At 40.2% G+C, this 17,487-nt stretch overlaps 1 pseudogene, besides 1 other annotated feature; it reads left to right on the forward strand.

Moving 5' to 3' along the window:
• RNU5E-9P (RNA, U5E small nuclear 9, pseudogene) lies at positions 2,250 to 2,353 on the forward strand (annotated as a pseudogene).
• Positions 13,930 to 14,431: an enhancer, noted in NCBI's record as "H3K27ac hESC enhancer chr2:179018955-179019456 (GRCh37/hg19 assembly coordinates)". NCBI's record gives its function as "activates a minimal SCP1, AML or CMV promoter by ChIP-STARR-seq in primed H9 embryonic stem cells {active_cell/tissue: H9 hESC(primed)}" and the evidence as "EXISTENCE:reporter gene assay evidence [ECO:0000049][PMID:30033119]".

Consider the following 17,487-nt stretch of genomic DNA (forward strand, 5'->3'; position numbering starts at 1 on the left):
AAAAAAATCAAAATCAGAAATAATAAAGTTAATGAAAAACAGATTATTAAAAAATAAATGTCATCCTTAATTGTTTTAATTTAAATATTTGCTATGAAATATTCAGTACACGAGTTTAGAAAACCCACTCAAGAATTACAAAATTCAAACAGGTCGATAACCAAAGAAAAAAATTAATGTAGTAACCAATGAATTGTATCTCCTCAAATGAGTCCTGATCACTCTATGCATTCTCCCAAACTTTTAAGAAGCACGTTATTCCTATGTTATATAAATTTTCTCTGGCAGACAGAAAAAGGTGAGTGTACACCACATTAAATTTTGTGCAGTTACTGTTACCCTGACACCAAAACATTGAAAAGACAAAAATCAAAGCTATAAATTGTTCTTTAACCTATGAATATGGATGCAAGCAAACCTAAATAAAATATTAGTAGTACAAATTATGTGTTCAAAGAACAACATACCATTGCTAAGTAGGGTTTATCCTTTGATGAAAGAGCAGTTCCCATTGGGGGGAAAAAACCGTTAATACACATTTTTTTTTCGGGGACAGGGTCTCACTTTGTTGCCCAGGCTGCTCTTGAACTCTAATACACATCTCAATAGATCCACAATGAGATCTGTTTGCCCAAATTGGTTACTTGTCCATTCTTATGATCATATGAATGTCATGGACTCTTTGGATTATTCATGATTAGTCTGAAACAATCACTAGCTGGAAGGATGGGACTAGCCTGAGTTGTTTAAATGAATCAGTGTCTAGCCTTGTTCCCAACTGCATGACTGCAATATAATGGGGAAGGTATGGAAAACATGTTGGTAAGGCAAACACAATGTCTAAAACTGCTTCTTAGCTAGATTTATTGCCAGGCACTGGGTGAGTGGCTTTACATGTATCTCAAAACTCTATGGTGTAAGTACTATTTTTCCTATTTTATCAACAGGAAGCTGAAGTACATTCAGAGAAATAAAGTAACTTGCTCAAGTAACAGCCAGCAAATGGGAAAGCTGGGCTTCAGATACAGGCAACTTAAAATTGATGCCCATTCTCTTAACCACTACACTAAATATCAATGACCATAACGAAGATTACAGATGCTACCACATGCACACACTAATCAAATATTATGTAACACCAAATCCTTCCAAAACTATGGGATAGAATGGAAATCATGCTTACTCTTTAGAGAAAGCAAGCAGAATACAAAATTGCATATAATGTAGTTAATGATTTATTTAAGCTAGAATGAATTTGAAAGAGCCATATGGGTGTATTTGCTTTTCACTATTTTCCATTTTTCCTTGGTGAACACTTGTACTTTAAAAAAAAAAAAACCTAAAAAGTGCCAGGCACAGTGGCTCATGCCTGTAATCCCAGCACTTCGGGAGGCCAAGGCGGGTGGATCATCTGAGGTCAGGAGTTTGAGGCCAGCCTGACCAACATGGTGAAACCCCGTCTCTACTAAAAAGACAAAAAAAAAAAAAAAAAAAAATTAGCCAGGCGTGGTGGCACATGCTTGTAATCCCAGCTACTTGGGAGGCTAAGGCAGGAGAATCGCTTGAACCCGGGAGGTGGAGGTTGCGGTGAGCCGAGATCACGCCATTGCACTCCAGCCTGGGTGACAGAACGAGACTCCCATCTCAAAAAAATTTTTTTTTTTTAAATATACTGTATACCCTACTAGATTATAAAGTTTTTATGAGCAAAGCCTGTGTTTTATTTTTGTAACCTCAAACACAGCTATGCACCTTACACATAACAGGCACAAAATAAATTTTTATCCATTTGGATTACAGCATGAAGTATTCCTATGTATGTCTCCTGCAGAGATTCTGTAAACAAGTGTGTATTCTCTATAGATATTGCAATAATTGTTTAGGTACTACCTTTTCAAACTGAAGTTTTACTTAGGCTTATTTTTAAAGATTATGCTAATTTTTATTTTAATGTTGTGTTTTTGTTGTTTGTACAATTTTACTAGTGCCTAGTTCACAATCCAAATACAAATCTAGGTGATTTTTGAATAATAGATGATACTTGTTAAACTCTTACTATATCACTACTGTTCCAAGCACTGTGAGATATTTTCCCATTTAGGCATCTAACAGTTCTGTGAAATTAATACTGTGAAGCACAGGGAGATTAAATGACTTCTGACAGGACACATAGCAAATAAGTAATGGAGCTGGGATTCGCGCTCAAGAAATATGACTCCATGGCCTCACTTAAGTTCACACACTGTGATACTCTGGTTTCTCTTCAGATCATATAAATCTTTTGCCTTTTACTGAAGATTTCCGTGGAGGGAACAGTCTTTACCCAATTTTTTGAGGCCTCTTGTTTAAGGATTTTTTTTTTTTAAGTTTACACGCTGTTTAATTCAACCACTGTTCTGGGTTTTATTTGTTTGTTTTTCAAGAAGGAAGTATAAAATCTTTATGTTATAAATAGACCATGTAATTGTGAAAAAATTTTATTCCATTGTATGACTCCTTGAAAGAATGAGGTGGAAGGATAAAGTAAGAAAAGTATAACTGAGATGAGAAGTGAAAGCAAGAGAAAAGGATTACAGATGACAGAATAAAGAGGGTGACTCAGTGACTTCGGGGTCAAAGTGTTGGTTCCTTTTTCACCTTGGTTGTACAAGTTTATTCAACAATAATATATTGAACATGTATGTACTAGCTGCCAAGGACATAATGGTGAAGAGAAAGAAAAAAAGATGACTTATTTGCCCTTATGTATAATAGCTTATATAATTATTTTAAGCTTCTATTATATAACGTAGTTTGAAGAAGTAGTTTACAGTGAGGTCAGCTGCCAGTAAGGCAGGCTGGCTTCTCCCAAACCTATCAATTTTAGAAGATTCACAAGAACACAGGAATCCCCCTTTTCTGTCATCCTTAATTTGTCCACACCTAATTCTGCTTTTGTGTTTGTTTTAAAGGGTTTTATTGTTGTGTTTTGGGGGATAAAGATTACAGTGTAGTCTACACATCTTAAGTGTAAGATTTGAGAATTCTTGATTAATGCATACACTCTTATAACCCACTTTTGGAGACTATTCCCATGGGTCTGTTGTGTTTCTGTTTGTCTTGTAAGCAGAGGCACTATCTTTTAAAGGATGCTTATATAGTAAACAGAATCAGAAGACAGTTAGTGTCTCCCTCTGGAGCAAAAGACAAATTCTGTTTAGTAAAATTAAGATAATGTCTCCTTCCAGGGCAAAGGGCAAGCAGAGTTACAGCTCTTGATTAAAGATTTAGGCTCCTTAAGCTTGGTGTTCCTCAGTTCTAGCACACACTGTGACATGCACAGCATCCACTTGGGCCACTCTGCATTACCTCTGTAAGACTTAAGGGACAATAGGAGCCAAGGCAGACATGCAGCTCAGGCTGCTTACTGTGTTGTGGATAATGAAGTCCTTTGTCTCTGATGCAGGAGATAGTGGCAGGCTTTTTATCTTGTAAGTAGAGTAACATCTCAGACCCTTCACAGTTCTTGACCATCACACCCCTTCAAGATAGAGATCATTTTTATTGGGGCAGCAAGTTCCCTCATGCCCCTTTCCCATCAATCTCACAAGAATATCCTTTTGCTGATTTCATTCACACTAGATAGTGTTGCCTTTTCTAGAACATCACATACATGGAATCATACATTATACAGTTGTCCGTTGGTATCTGAGGAGGAATGTTCTCAGGATCTCCCCGCAGATACCAAAATCCGTGGATGCTCAAATGGATAAGTCTCATATAAAATGATGTAGGCCAGGTGCAGTGACTTACGCCTGTAACTCCAGCATTTTGGGAGACTGAGGTGGGTGCATCACTTGACCTCAGGAGTTTGAGACCAGACTGGGCAACATGGTGAAACCCCATCTCTCCAAAAAAAATAAAATAAAATAAAAATTAGCCTGGCATGGTGGCTCACGCCTGTATTCCCAACTACTTGTGGGACTGAGGTGGGAAGATCACTTGAGCCCAGGAGGCAGAGGTTGCAGTGAGCCAAGATTATGCCACTGCACTCCAGCCTGGGTAACAGAGCAAGACCCTGTCTCAAAAATAAATAAAAATAAAATGGTGTAGTATTAGCATGTAAGCTATGCACATTTTCTTGTTTACTTTATCTGTAGATTACTTATAATACCTAGTACAATGTAAATGCTATGTAAACACTTGTTATACTGTATTGTTTAGGAAATAATGACAAGAAAAAGATCTGTATGTATTCAATGCAGGCACAACCATCCTTTTTTTTTTTTTCCACGTATTTTCAAACTAGGCTGGTTGAATCCACAGATGTGGAACCCAGGGATACAGAGAGTTGACTATGTACTCATTTGGGTTTATCTGCTTTCACTCAGCATGAGCTCTGTGAAATTCATCCATGCTGTTGTGTGTATCAGTGGTTCATTCCTTTTCATGGCTGAAGAGTAACCCACTGTAAGAATAACAGTTGTTACATTAGTCATTCACATGTTTAGCTTTATCATATATAAGACATTGGGAATCAAACATTGTTTAGACTAGACTCTATTACCTTTATACGAAGAGTCTTCATTTCTGTTCTAGCAGGCACTTAGCTTGTTTGGACCCCCATTTCTAACTCTGCCTCTTTTGCAGTGGGCAGCCCCTGGATTTCTCATCCTTTCAGCTGTTGTTTTCCATCACCACCACCTCTGGTAGTCTCCCTTGCCCATGCAAAGTCAAAGAGTCAGCCAAAGATTTTGAGTGAGGTTTACCATAGATTTTTGGGACTCCTTGTTTTTTGGCTCTATCCTTTTTGGGGGATGCTCCCTTGTTCTCAAATGGCTTAGGCATCCCCAAAGTCTGCCCATTGACTCAAGCCAGTAAGACTGCACTTTTCTGCTTGAGTTCTAGCATTGCTGTGCTGAGGTAAAATTTCATAAGCATGACTCTCACCCAGTGTGTTTCTCTTCTTTCAATATTTACTCCCCTTGGTTTCTGTCTGCTTTTGGTGATTCTCCAAGCACCTTCAATTAGGTCATATATATGTGAACTAATTGAATATATATATGTTGCCCAGAGCTTATAATGGTTAGAGGAGACATAGTCTGATAAAAGCTCCTCTATCATTTTCAGAATCAGAACCCTGTGTAGTGTATTTTTATTCCTTTATTTCAAAATTTCTGTGACATTTTACTTTGGATGTATCTCTTACAAGCAACATGTGGCTGTATTTTGTTCTTTGTGGAATCTGATAGTCTGCCTTTCAGTAGGTCAGTAACCCATTTACATTCATTGTGATTCACGACATTTAGATTTACTTATTTACTCATTCATTTAGAAGTGTGGTCTTACTGTGTTGCCCAGGCTGATCTTAGACTCCGGGGCTCTAGTGATCCTCCTGCTTCATCCTCCCGAATAGCTGGGACTTGTAGTGTGTGCCATCATGCCTAGCTCTTTTTTTTTTTTTTTTTTTTTGAGAGAGAGTTTTGCTCTTGTTGCCCAGGCTGGAGTTCAATGGTGTGATCTTGGTTCACTGTAACCTCTGCCTCCTGGGTTCAAGCGATTCTCCTGCCTCAGCCTCCCAAGTAGCTGTGATTACAGGTGTGCACCACCACACCTGGCTCATTTTGTATTTTTAGTAGACACGGAGTTTCACCATGTTGGTCAGGCTGGTCTTGAACTCCTGACCTCAAGTGATCCAACCACCTCAGCCTCCCAAAGTGTTGGGATTACAGGAGTGAGCCATCGTACCTGGCCCATCGTGCCTAGCTCTTGCATTTATTTTTTATCATTTTGTTTTATGTGTTTACTATTATTTACATTTGCTTCTTTAGTTCTGGTCATCTGCCAAATTGATAAGGTTTTCTACTATCCCCCCACTTTGATGTTCTCCTTACTTGGAAGTTATAGATTACATTTCTGTTCCTTAGGGGCCACCCTTAAACTTCCTACTAAAGTCTAAAGTTATTTGGTATTTGAATCTTTCTTCCAAACAGGAAAAGGACATTATTTTGTTTACTCATTAACAAATTCCTACCTTTTCTTTTATTGTTGTCTGGAAATTCAGTTTCAACATTTTTATCATAAAATACAAAAAAAAATTCAAACATGACAATTTTATGCTCATCGTTTCTTTTTAAACAAAATAATTTTATTGATATTCAGTTCGCATACCATAAAATCACCATTGTATTTTGCATCTAACTTCTTTCCCTTACATTCACTTTTCTTCTTGCAAGCTCTAATGGTTATTTCAGTGAGATGTATTTTGGGGTTTTGTTTCATTTTGTTTCCCTTTTGTCTGCAAATGCCTTTATTTTGCTTTCACTCTTAGATAGTAGCTTTTGGCTGAGTATAGAATTCTACATCCGGAGTAATTTTCCCTTAGCAATTTGAAACAATTATTCTATTGCATCCTGTCACTTATTTTTCTCAATTAGAAATCTGTTATTAGTCTAATTTTTATTCTTTTATGGTTAATTTTGTTCCCTCTTTGATAACTTTAAATTTTTTCTGTATCCTGCAGTTTTGCTTTTATGTGTCTACATAAGAGTTTATATTTTATCCTGCTTGGTACAGAATGTACTTTTACTCTAAGGGATTATTCTTCAATTTTGGAAAGTTCTCTGCCCCTATCTCTTCAAATATTGCTTGTTTGTAATTTTGTCTATTTTCATCTTTTGAAGTTTTATTAGACAGTTGCAGCCTCTCAGTCTGGTCTCTGTGTCACTTATTTTCTCACTCATCTTAAAAAACCTCTTTCTGTTGCATTTTACATTATTTCCTCAGTAACACCTTAAAATATAGTAATTCTTTCTTAGACTGTGTGCAGTCTAGAATGTCCATTGAGTCTTTAAATTGGTATGTTCTCCTAATTTTTTACTCTTTTATTTTATTTATTTTAAAAATGTTTACGTTTTTAGAGACAGGGTCTCACTATGTTGCCCAGGCTGGAGTGCAGTGGCTATTCACGGGAGCAATCATAGTGCACTGAATCCTTGAACTTCTGGCTTCAAGCCATCCTCCTGCCTCAGCCTCCCAAACAGCTGGGACTACAGGCATACACCACCATGTCCAGCAAATTTTTTAAAAACTCTTTCTACCTGTTCTTGGATCACTTAAAGCCTGATTTTGTTTCATAATTTATTCTTTTTTAAAATTTATGTGGCCAGACGCGGTGGCTCATACCTGTAATCTCAGCACTTTGGGAGGCCTGGGTGGGCAGATCACCTGAGGTCAGGAGTTCGAGACCAGCCTGGCTAACACGGTGAAATCTTCTCTACTAAAAATACAAAAATTAGCCAGGCATGGTGGCATGCACCTGTAATCCCAGATACTCGGGAAGCTGAGACAGGAGAATCACTTGAACCCAGGAGGCAGAGGTTGCAGTGAGCCGAGATTGCGCCACTGCACTCCAGCTAGGGTAACAAAGCAAGACTCTGTCTCAAAAAAAAAAAAAAAACCCACACCCACAATTCTTTCTGCTACATGCCTTTCTTTCTAGACTTTATTATGAGGAACTAATTCTCATTCGACTTCTGAGAGACCCTGCCCTTAAGCTTTCTAGAAACCCCTTTTTCCAGGTGAAAGGATCTACCAGGCACTACCTTAATTCTTTCAGATGTCTAAATGAAGAACGTTACAGCCTTGCCCTTAGTTTGATATTTTTCTCCCAGGCTGGATCTGAAACACTTTCACTAGCTGGAGATTAAGAATTTTATTCTTCAACTAAGCAGGTTCTGGGCTCTCTAAACACTTCTTGCAAGTCAGTGGGATTTTTTTTTATGAATTTCTCATTTTTCTTGTTATTTTAGCAAATAGGACTTAAAGCTGGGAGCGATGGCTCACGCCTGTAATCCCAGCACTTTGGGAGGCTGAGGCAGGTGGATCGCTTGAGGCCAGGAGTTCGAGACCAGCCTGGCCAGCATGGCAAAACCTGTCTCTACTAAAAATACAATAAAGCCGGGCGCAGTGGCTCATGCCTGTAATCCCAGCACTTTGGGAGGCCGAGGCGGGCGGATCACCTGAGGTTGGGAGTTCGAGACTCGCCTGACCAACATGGAGAAACCCCATTTCTACTAAAAATATAAAAAATTAGCCAGGCATGGTAGCACATGCCTGTAATCCCAGCTACTCAGGAGGCTGAGGCAGGAGAATGTCTTGAACCCAGGAGGTGGAGGTTGCAGTGAGCCGAGATCGCATCATTGCATTCCAGCCTGGGCAACAAGAGCAAAACTCTGTCTCAAAATAAATAAATAAATAAATAAATAAATACAAAAAAAAATTAACTGGATGTGGTGGCGCACACCTGTAATCCCAGCTACTCAGAAGGCTGAGGCAGGAGAATCTCTTGAACCTGGGAGACAGAGGTTGCAGTGAGCTGAGATTGCGCCACTGCACTCCAGCCTGGGCAACAGAGTGAGACTTGGTCTCAAAAAAAAAAAAAAAGAAAAGAAAAAGAATAGTACTTAAAGCACCTAGCCCCATACCTTTGACATATGCCTAGAAACTATCCTACTATCCTCCACATTACTATGGGCAACCATTGTACAAATACAGGTTGCCATTTTTCAGTTTCTCTAATAGTTGCCTCACCATATCCACCACCCTAAGCTAATAACATATATTTTAGGTTCTGATTACAGCAGCATCCCAGTATTAGGTGCTGACTTCTAGATTAGGTTACTATTGCTACATAAGAAACAATCACAAAATCTCAGTGACATATAAGCTTTTCATTTTGTTAATAAGCTTTTAATTTTCTCATGGGTCTGCAGGTCAGTTAGGGCAACTTCAGGCTGCAGTCGCTGAAGTAGCTTTACTTTATAAAGCAGGTCTCAGGCAGCCAGGACAGTTATGCTCCACATGCTCATTCTGAGGCGCAGCTGGAATCTGGGGCCCTGGGCAGCCTGGGCCTCTCTGAGGAGATGACAATTGTACTGACTTATGGGTGATGAGAAGGGCCCAGCTGGGCAAAATGGGGGAGGGTGTGCCAGTGCAAACACCCTGGGGCAGGTGTTCAAGGGAGAGGGAGGAAGCTATGGACCTGGAACAGTGAGAGAGGGAGAGTGGAGGGGACGAGGCCAGGAGGCTGCTGGATCATATCACCTGGGGCACTGTCAGCCACAGAGATGGTGTGAGGTGAGTGGAGTTGCCAGGTCTGCAAACCGGGAGGGCACTTCTGCTACGCATGCTTATTCTGGGGCCCAGGGCATCAGCTACCCTGGGGAAAACTCTCCTTATTGTGGTGACAAAAGTACAAGGGGGCAAGCCCCATTAGATAAGCACATTTCAAGCCCTTGCTTTCATCATACCTACTAATGCCCCATTGGCCAAAGCATATCCCATGGCTGAGCCCAGAAAAATATACTGCCTTTTTTATTTTTATTTTTATTTTTATTTTTTTGAGTCGGAGTCTCACTCTGTCACCCAGGCTGGAGCGCAGTGTCACAAGCTTGGCTCACCGCAGCCTCTGCCTCCTGGGTTCAAGCAATTCTCTGCCTCAGCCTCCCGAGTAGCTGGGATTACAGGCACCCACCACCACGCCTGGCTAATTTTTGTATTTTTAGTAGAGATGGGATTTCACCACCTTGGCCAGGCTGGTCTTGAACTCCTGACCTCGTGATCCACCCACCTCGGCCTCCCAAAGTGCTGGGATTACAGGCGTGAGTCATTGCACCCGGCCATACTGCCTTTTATGGGAAGAACTTCAACGTTACAATGGCAAGGGATATGGGCACAAAAAGGGGTAAATAAATTGGACCTATAAATCATTTTATTTTACAGATACATGCATGCATATATTTATTGCAGCACTATTCACAATAGCAAAGAAATGGAATCAACCAAAATGTCCATTAGTGATAGACTGGATAAAGAAAATGTGGTACATGTACACCATGGAATACTATGAAGCCATAAAAAGGAATGAGATCATGTCCTTTGCAGGGACATGGATGGAGCTGGAAGCCATCATCCTCAGCAAACTAACACAGGAACAGAAAACCAAACACCACATGTTCTCGCTCATAAGTGTGAGCTGAACAATGAGAATACATGGACGCAGGAAGGGGAACAACACATACGGGGTCTGTCCTTGCTGGTGAGGGCAGGTAGGGGGAAGGAGAGCATCAGGAAAGATAGCTAATGCATGTGGGGCTTCATACCTACGTGATGGGTTGATACGCGCAGCAGCACACGTTTACCTATGTAACAAACCTGAATGTCCTGCATATGTATCCAGGAACTTAAAATTTTTAAAAAATGATAATTTGGACCAGTCATTGATTACATCCTTCATGATAACATGTAGAATATTGGTTGCCAGCTTGTGTTTCTGTCCTGCCTCCTGAAGCTCACAGCTTCCCCTAAAGCTGTAGTCCCAGGCAGTAGTCAGCAGCAGCTTTTTAAGCTTCTTTGTGAAAGGGATGGGAGTAAGGATCACCAGCCCAGCTCCTGGTTTTAGGCAGTGAACCTGTCTCTGATCTCCCAAAAGGATATGAACTCACAATTGCCTCTATCTACTTAGTGACCCAGAGTTCAGCAGGCTCATGGCTCCCACCTACCTATTTTCTTTTTTCTTTACTTTTTTTTTTTTTTTTTTTTTTTGAGACGGAGTCTCACTCTATTCCCCGGGCTGGAGTACAGTGGCGTGATCTCAGCTCACTGCAAGCTCCACCTCCCGGGTTCAGGCCTTTCTCCTGCCTCAGCCTCCTGAGTAGCTGGGACTACAGGTGCCCGCCACCACACCCGGCTAATTTTTTGTATTTTTAGTAGAGACGGGTTTTCACCATGTTAGCCAGGATGGTCTCGATCTCCTGACCTCGTGATCCACCTGCCTTGGCCTCCCAAAGTGCTGGGATTACAGTTGTGAGCCACCGCGCCCGGCCTCCACCTACCAATTTTCTTCACTGTATTTTCTGTTCCTGGCTCACGGAGATTTATCTTACTGAACACAGCTAAGTCCTTTTTATAAAAAAAAAAAAAAAAAAAAAAAGCTGTGTATTTTTTTCCTTTAATGTATTATGTATCATGGCCATGAGTTTTGAGTAAAGGAATAATGCAAATCATGAACTATCAATAGCATCGTAATCCAAAGTCCTAGAATCCTATATGAAATATATCCTTTATTTCATGTGATGGTTTTTTAAAAATAAAAGGTTTTAAAATCTCTTGGCACTTAAGTATGCCAAATGTAGTATATTACCAAAAAATAGTTTCATAAATATTCCAATTCAGTACCTTTTTAAAAAAATGATCAGGCAGATTATATAAAAGGAAAATAGGCTGGGTGTGGTGCCTCATGCCTGTAATCCCAACACTTTCAGAGGCTGAAATGGGAGGATAGCTTGAGCCCAGCAGTTCAAGACAAGTCTGGGCAACAAAATGAGACCCTGTCTCTGCAAAAAATACAAAAAATTGGCCCGGTGTGGCGGCATGTACCTATGGTCCCAGCTACATGGGAGACTGAGACAGGAGGATCACTTCAGCCTAGGAAGTCAAAGCTGCAGTGAGCCATCATCAAGCCACTGCACTCCAGCCTGAGAGACAGTGCAAGACCCTGTCTCAAAATAAATAAATAAATAAATAAATGGAAAATAGCCAGCAAATCAGATCATTAAAATAAACTAGTAAAATGTGTGTGTATCAAATATGAAGGTATTTTATCACAGCCTGGTTATCTCATTCTCTTCTCTCTTATCAAAATTTTATCTCTTCTTTGTTTTTGACTTTTTATTATAGAAAATTTATTATCGAAAATTTTAAATATATAAACTGTACACAGAATAGTGTAACAACTTCTATGTACCCATCACGGAGCTTTCATAAACATTAATCTCAGCAAATTTAGTTTCATTTGTCCCCAGAGGTTGGAAACTATGACCCACAGACTAAATCCAGCCTGTCGCCTGCTTTTGTAAATAAAATTTTGTTGGAACACAGCCATACTCTTTTGTTTACATGCCTGTTTTTGTGCTGCAGTAGTGGAGTTGAGTAGTTGCAACAGAAGTTGTACGGCCTGCAAAGCCAAAAATAGTTACTGTTTAGCCCTTTACAGAAAAAGTTTGCTGACTCCTGAACTATAGACTTTCATCCACTCATCTCAGGAAAAATGTCTCTTTCATATTACATTTTTTCATGTTTTAGTATGTCTCTAGAAGCTAATCACTTTTTAAAAAGACAGTAACACTCTTACCTACAAAATTAACAGCAATTCACTAGTTTGCTCTTCTTTTCTATAAAACTCCAACTAAATAAGAACAAGTATGAATTCTTTAATAGTTCGTTTTTTTCCTAACTCATTATTCAGGTCCACCCATAGTTTATAAACCTTTGAAAGAGCTGCAGACTATTCTTTATTAGTGGTTTACTCTCAGTAATTTTAACAGTTTAACAAACAATTTATCTGTAGATGACCCCAAAGAATAGCGTATCCTGAATTTAACAAAGCATGTAAGAAAGTTAAGCAATAATGGTAATCATTAGAGAGATTTCAGCACAATGGCAATTTGAGTTGTATTAAGGTTCTGTGAAAAAAAATGCAGCCGGTAAATACAATCTCAGTTTTAAAAGGCTAATAGTGTTACCGGGTTTTTTTGTTTTTTTTTGTTGTTGTTGTTTGTTTGTTTGTTTGTTTTGCCACATTGGTTTTTCTTTCCTTGAGAAAACCAAGTTCACTTTTTGAGGTTTTAATAGTTATGTGACTGTAAGCATTTTTAAATAATATTTTATATAAAAATAGCCCTTTACAGTTTACATGGCAGCCTTATAAGAGCTATCTTATTTAATATTTACACAACCTAGTGAGGTAGAGATTATTTTCTTACTAAAGGGTTCTGCTGAGACACAAACCCAAGTTGTCTATTCTGTTCAAAGTCCATCACCCTTATGCTGCTGAACTGGCAATCACAAATCTTACCACAGAGCAGTTTTAAATGGATTTTATCACCTTTTATAGGCCTTGGCTATATAAATTGTACTATGTTATGCAAACGATTAAATTTACATTACTTCCTAGATATGCTAAAGATACACATCTACACAGTAAAGATATTGGAATAAACCTATGACATCTGTACCTTTGGAGCTTAGAATTCCAAGCACAGAGTGCTGTATCTTTCAAACTTAAAGAGCAAGAAACACTCCATTATATAGTTTTCATAAACTCTTCTTTAGCATACTTTTATATCCTTATGATGGGTGAAGTGCCCTAGTGGAGAGGTGACCTTAAATAGAGCTCAGAGACATAGGCCAGGTGTGGTGGCTCACCCATGTAATCCCAACACATTGGGAGGCCAAGCCAAGAGGATAGCTTGAGCCCAGGAGTTTAAAACCAGCCTGGACAACTGTATTAGTCCATTTACACACTGCTGATAAAGACATACCTGAGACTGGAAAGTAAAAGAGGTTTAATGGACTTACAGTTCCACGTGGCTTGGGAGGCATCACAATCATGGCAGAAAGCAAGGGGGGCAAGTTATAGCTTACATGGATGGTGGCAGGCAAAGAGAGCACTTGTGCAGAGAAACTCCTGTTTTTAAAACCACCAGATCTCATGAGACCCATTCACTATCATAAGAATAGCATGGGAAAGACCTGCCCCCTTGATTCAATCATCTCCTGCCGAGTCCTTCTGACAACATGTGGAAATTATGAGAGCTACAAGACAAGATTTGAGTGGGAACACAGAGCCAAACCATATCATTCTTCCCCTGGTCCCTCCCAAATCTCATATCTTCACATTTCAAAACCAATCATGCCTTCTGAACAGTCCCCCAAAGTCTCAATTCATTTCATCATTAACTCAAAAGTCCATAGTGCAAAGTCTCATCCAAGACAAGGCAAGTAAGTCCCTTCCACCTATGAGCCTGTAAAATCAAAAGCAAGTTAGTTAATTCCTAGATACAATAGGGGTACAGGCATTGGGTAAATACAGCCAATCTAAATGGGAGAAATTGGCCAAAACAAAGGGGCTACAGGCCCCATGCAAGTCTGAAACCCAGTGGGACAGTCAAATCTTAAAGCTCCAAAATGATCTCCTTTGACTCCATGTCTCACATCCAGGTCATGCTGATGCAAGAGGCAGGTTCCCATAGTCTTGGGCAGCCCCACCCCTGTGGCTTTGCAGGGTACAGCCTCCTTCCCAGCTACCTTCACTGGCGGTGTTGAGTGTCTGAGGCTTTTCCAGGCGCATGGTACAAGCTGTCAGTGGATCTACCATTCTGGAGTCTGGAGGATGATGGCCCTATTCTCACAGCTTTACTAGGTGGTGCCCCAGTAGGGACTCTGTGTGGGGGCTCCCACCCAACATTTCCCTTCTGCACTGCCCTAGCAGAGGTTCCACATGAGGACCCCACCCCTACAGCAAACTTCTGCCTGGGCATCCGGGCATTTCCATACGTCTTCTGAAATCTAGGTGGAGGTTCCCAAACCTCAATTCTTGAATTTTATGCACTCACAGGCCCAACACCACGTGGAAGCTGCCAAGTCTTGAGGCTTGCATCCTCTGAAGCCACAGTCTGAGCTCTACATTGGCCCCTTTCAGCCGTGGCTGGAGCAGCTGGGATGCAGGGCACAAAGTCCCTAGACTGTACACAGCATGGGGACCCTGGACCCAGCCCATGAAACCACTCTTTCCTCCTAGGCCTCCAGACCTGTGATGAGAGGGACTGCCATGAAGACCTCTCACGTGCCCTGGAGACATTTTCCCCATTGTCTTGGGGATTAACATTTGGCTCCAAATTACTTATGCAAATTTCTGAGGCTGGCTTGGATTTCTCCTCAGAAAATGGGATTTTTCTTTTCTATTGCCTTGTCAGGCTGCAAGTTTTCTGAACTTTTATGCTCTGCTTCCCTTATAAAACTGAATGCCCTCAACAGCATCCAAGTCACCTCTTGAATGCTTTGCTGTTTAGACATTTCTTCTGCCAGATACCCTAAATCATCTATTTCAAGTTCAAAGTTCCACAAATCTTTAGGGCAGGGGCAAAATGCTGCCAGTCTCTCTGCTAAAACATAACAAGAGTCACCTTTGCTCCGGTTCCCAACAAGTTCCTCATTTCCATCTGAGACCACCTCAGCCTGGACATTATGGTTCGTATCACTGTCAGCATTTTTGTCAAAGCCATTCAACAAATCTCCAGGAAGTTCCAAACTTTCCCACGTTTTCTTGTCTTCTTCTGAGCCCTCCAAACTGTTCCAACCTCTGCCTGTTACTCAGTTCCAAAGTCGCTTCCATAGTTTTGGGTATCTTTTCAGTAACGCCCCACTCTACTTGTACCAATTTACTTTATTAGTCTGTTTTCATACTGCTGATAAAGACATACCCAAGATTGGGAAGAAGTAGTTTAATGGACTTACAGTTCTACATGGCTGGGGAGGCCTCACAATCATGGAGGAAGGCAAGATGTAGCAAGTCATGTCTTACATGGATGGCAGCAGGCAAAGAGACAGCTTCTGCAGATAAACTCCTGTTTATAAAACCCTCAGGTCTCATGAGACCCATTCACTATCATAGAACAGCACAGGAAAGACCCAGCCCCATGATTCAATCATCTCCCACCAGGTCCCTCCCACAACACATGGGAATTATGGAACCTACAAGATGAGATTTGGGTGGGGACACAGAGCCAAACCATATCAACAACATAGCAAGAACCTGTCTCTACAAAAATAATTTTTTAGAAATTAGACAGGTGTGGTAGTGCATACCTGTAGTCCCTGCTACTCAGAAGGCTAAAGTGAGAGGATTGCTTGAACCCAGGAGGTTCAAGGCTGCAGTGAGCTATGCTGGAGCCACTGTACGCCAGCCTGGGTAACAAAGAGGGACTGTGTCTCCAAAAATAAAAAATAACAGAGCTCAGAGAAATGGCTGATTTCAGGATTAGGGCAGAGGAAATACAAGATTAACCTGGAACATCTTACTAGGCTAGAAAGTAAGAAGTGCCCCCCAAAATTGTGCAAGCATCAAGTCAAAATGACTCAGAAGTCAGCTTGAAGGGTACACCACTAGATAAATCTGGAACAATTTGAGCATCAAAGTAAATAATAGTAATAAATTGATTAAAGCATAAATCTATGAGTTCAGTCATATAAATAAATAAATAAATTGATACTTAGTGGAGAATGAGATATTTACATAGCCTCAAAGTATGTCCTGCAAAATATTTATGAATAAAAAAAGGGAAATGAGGTTAATTTATAATAGAGGAGCCTAGAAGATACCATTTTAATCAGATAATCAAAGTGAACATCTCAGTAATAAAACAAATTGAAAATGTAGACCCTCTGATAGAATGCAATGAGAACACAGCATTGCTTCGGTGAGATTCTTGCCAAAGAAGCATAACCTTATCATAAGATAATATCAGACAAAGCTAAACTGGGGAACATTATAAAAATTAATGACCTATAATCTTCTAAAGTGTCAGGGTCCTGAAAGTCAAGGAAAGACAGGAATGGTTCCAGATTGAAGACAACTAAAGAGATGAACTAAATGCAGTACTTGATTTTGGACTGGATTATTTTATTATAAATTACATTGGAACATTTGACAAAACTTGAACATGGTCTAAGGATTAGATCATAGCAATGTGCTGATGTTAACTCCCTGATCTTGAGTAACTGTGTTCTGGTTAAATAGGAGAATATCCTTGTCTATAGGAAAATATACACTAAAGTATAGGGGTAATACAGCATCAGGTCAGCAACTTACTCTCAAACTGTTCAAGTAACAAAAGTTCTTTGTCCTCTTTCTGTAAGTTTTCTGTATGTTTAACATGGCTTCAAAATGCAAATTGTTCTTCACAAAAATGCAAAACTAAACGTACATTAAGTTACAGCAGACTCTCACAGATATTTGTCACATAATGCCATTTTCCTTGGTCACAGGTTTAGCTACAGAACGATATCTTGCCAGTCTTTCACATGAGAAAAACTAGTTATCGAAGACAATTGTCTATAAAAACTTTAATAATACCATATTTATTTTTTTGTTGGGAAGGGGGACAATTTGCAAGACAGAACAAGGATATTCATTTATTAAACAAATTTTATTAAACATACATTAAGTTTTGTGGTAGGTACAAGTTTTCTTTCTGTGGTGGTCACTGTGATGCACTGCTCAGATTCCCCCTTCAGGACTCAAGGTTTTATTCCCCAAGCAGCAAGGAATGCTGTGGACAAGGCAGCCCTCAGCTGTCAGTTCCTTTCAGGAATTTCCTCAGTTGAAGAGAGATTCCTTGCCTAAGGTGACAGTCCCTTTCTGGGGTGGTCTACATCCAATCACTGGTCAATGCAGAGGTATAAAGGCCTAGCCCTGTTGCCCCAATTCAAGGCATCTTTGATAGGTCATCCCTGCTTCAGAACATCCCAGAGGGCTAAGGGTTTCATTGAGAATCCATCAATCCATCACGGCTCCACTTCTCCCTCTGCCAGTCCCTTCCGTTTCCTTGCCTTTCCTGTCCTAGGTGATGATCCTTGGAGCATGCCTAATGAACCTCCTGCCTGCTC

Source organism: Homo sapiens, chromosome 2 (genome assembly GCF_000001405.40).
Source record: "Homo sapiens chromosome 2, GRCh38.p14 Primary Assembly".
NCBI lineage: Eukaryota > Metazoa > Chordata > Mammalia > Primates > Hominidae > Homo > Homo sapiens.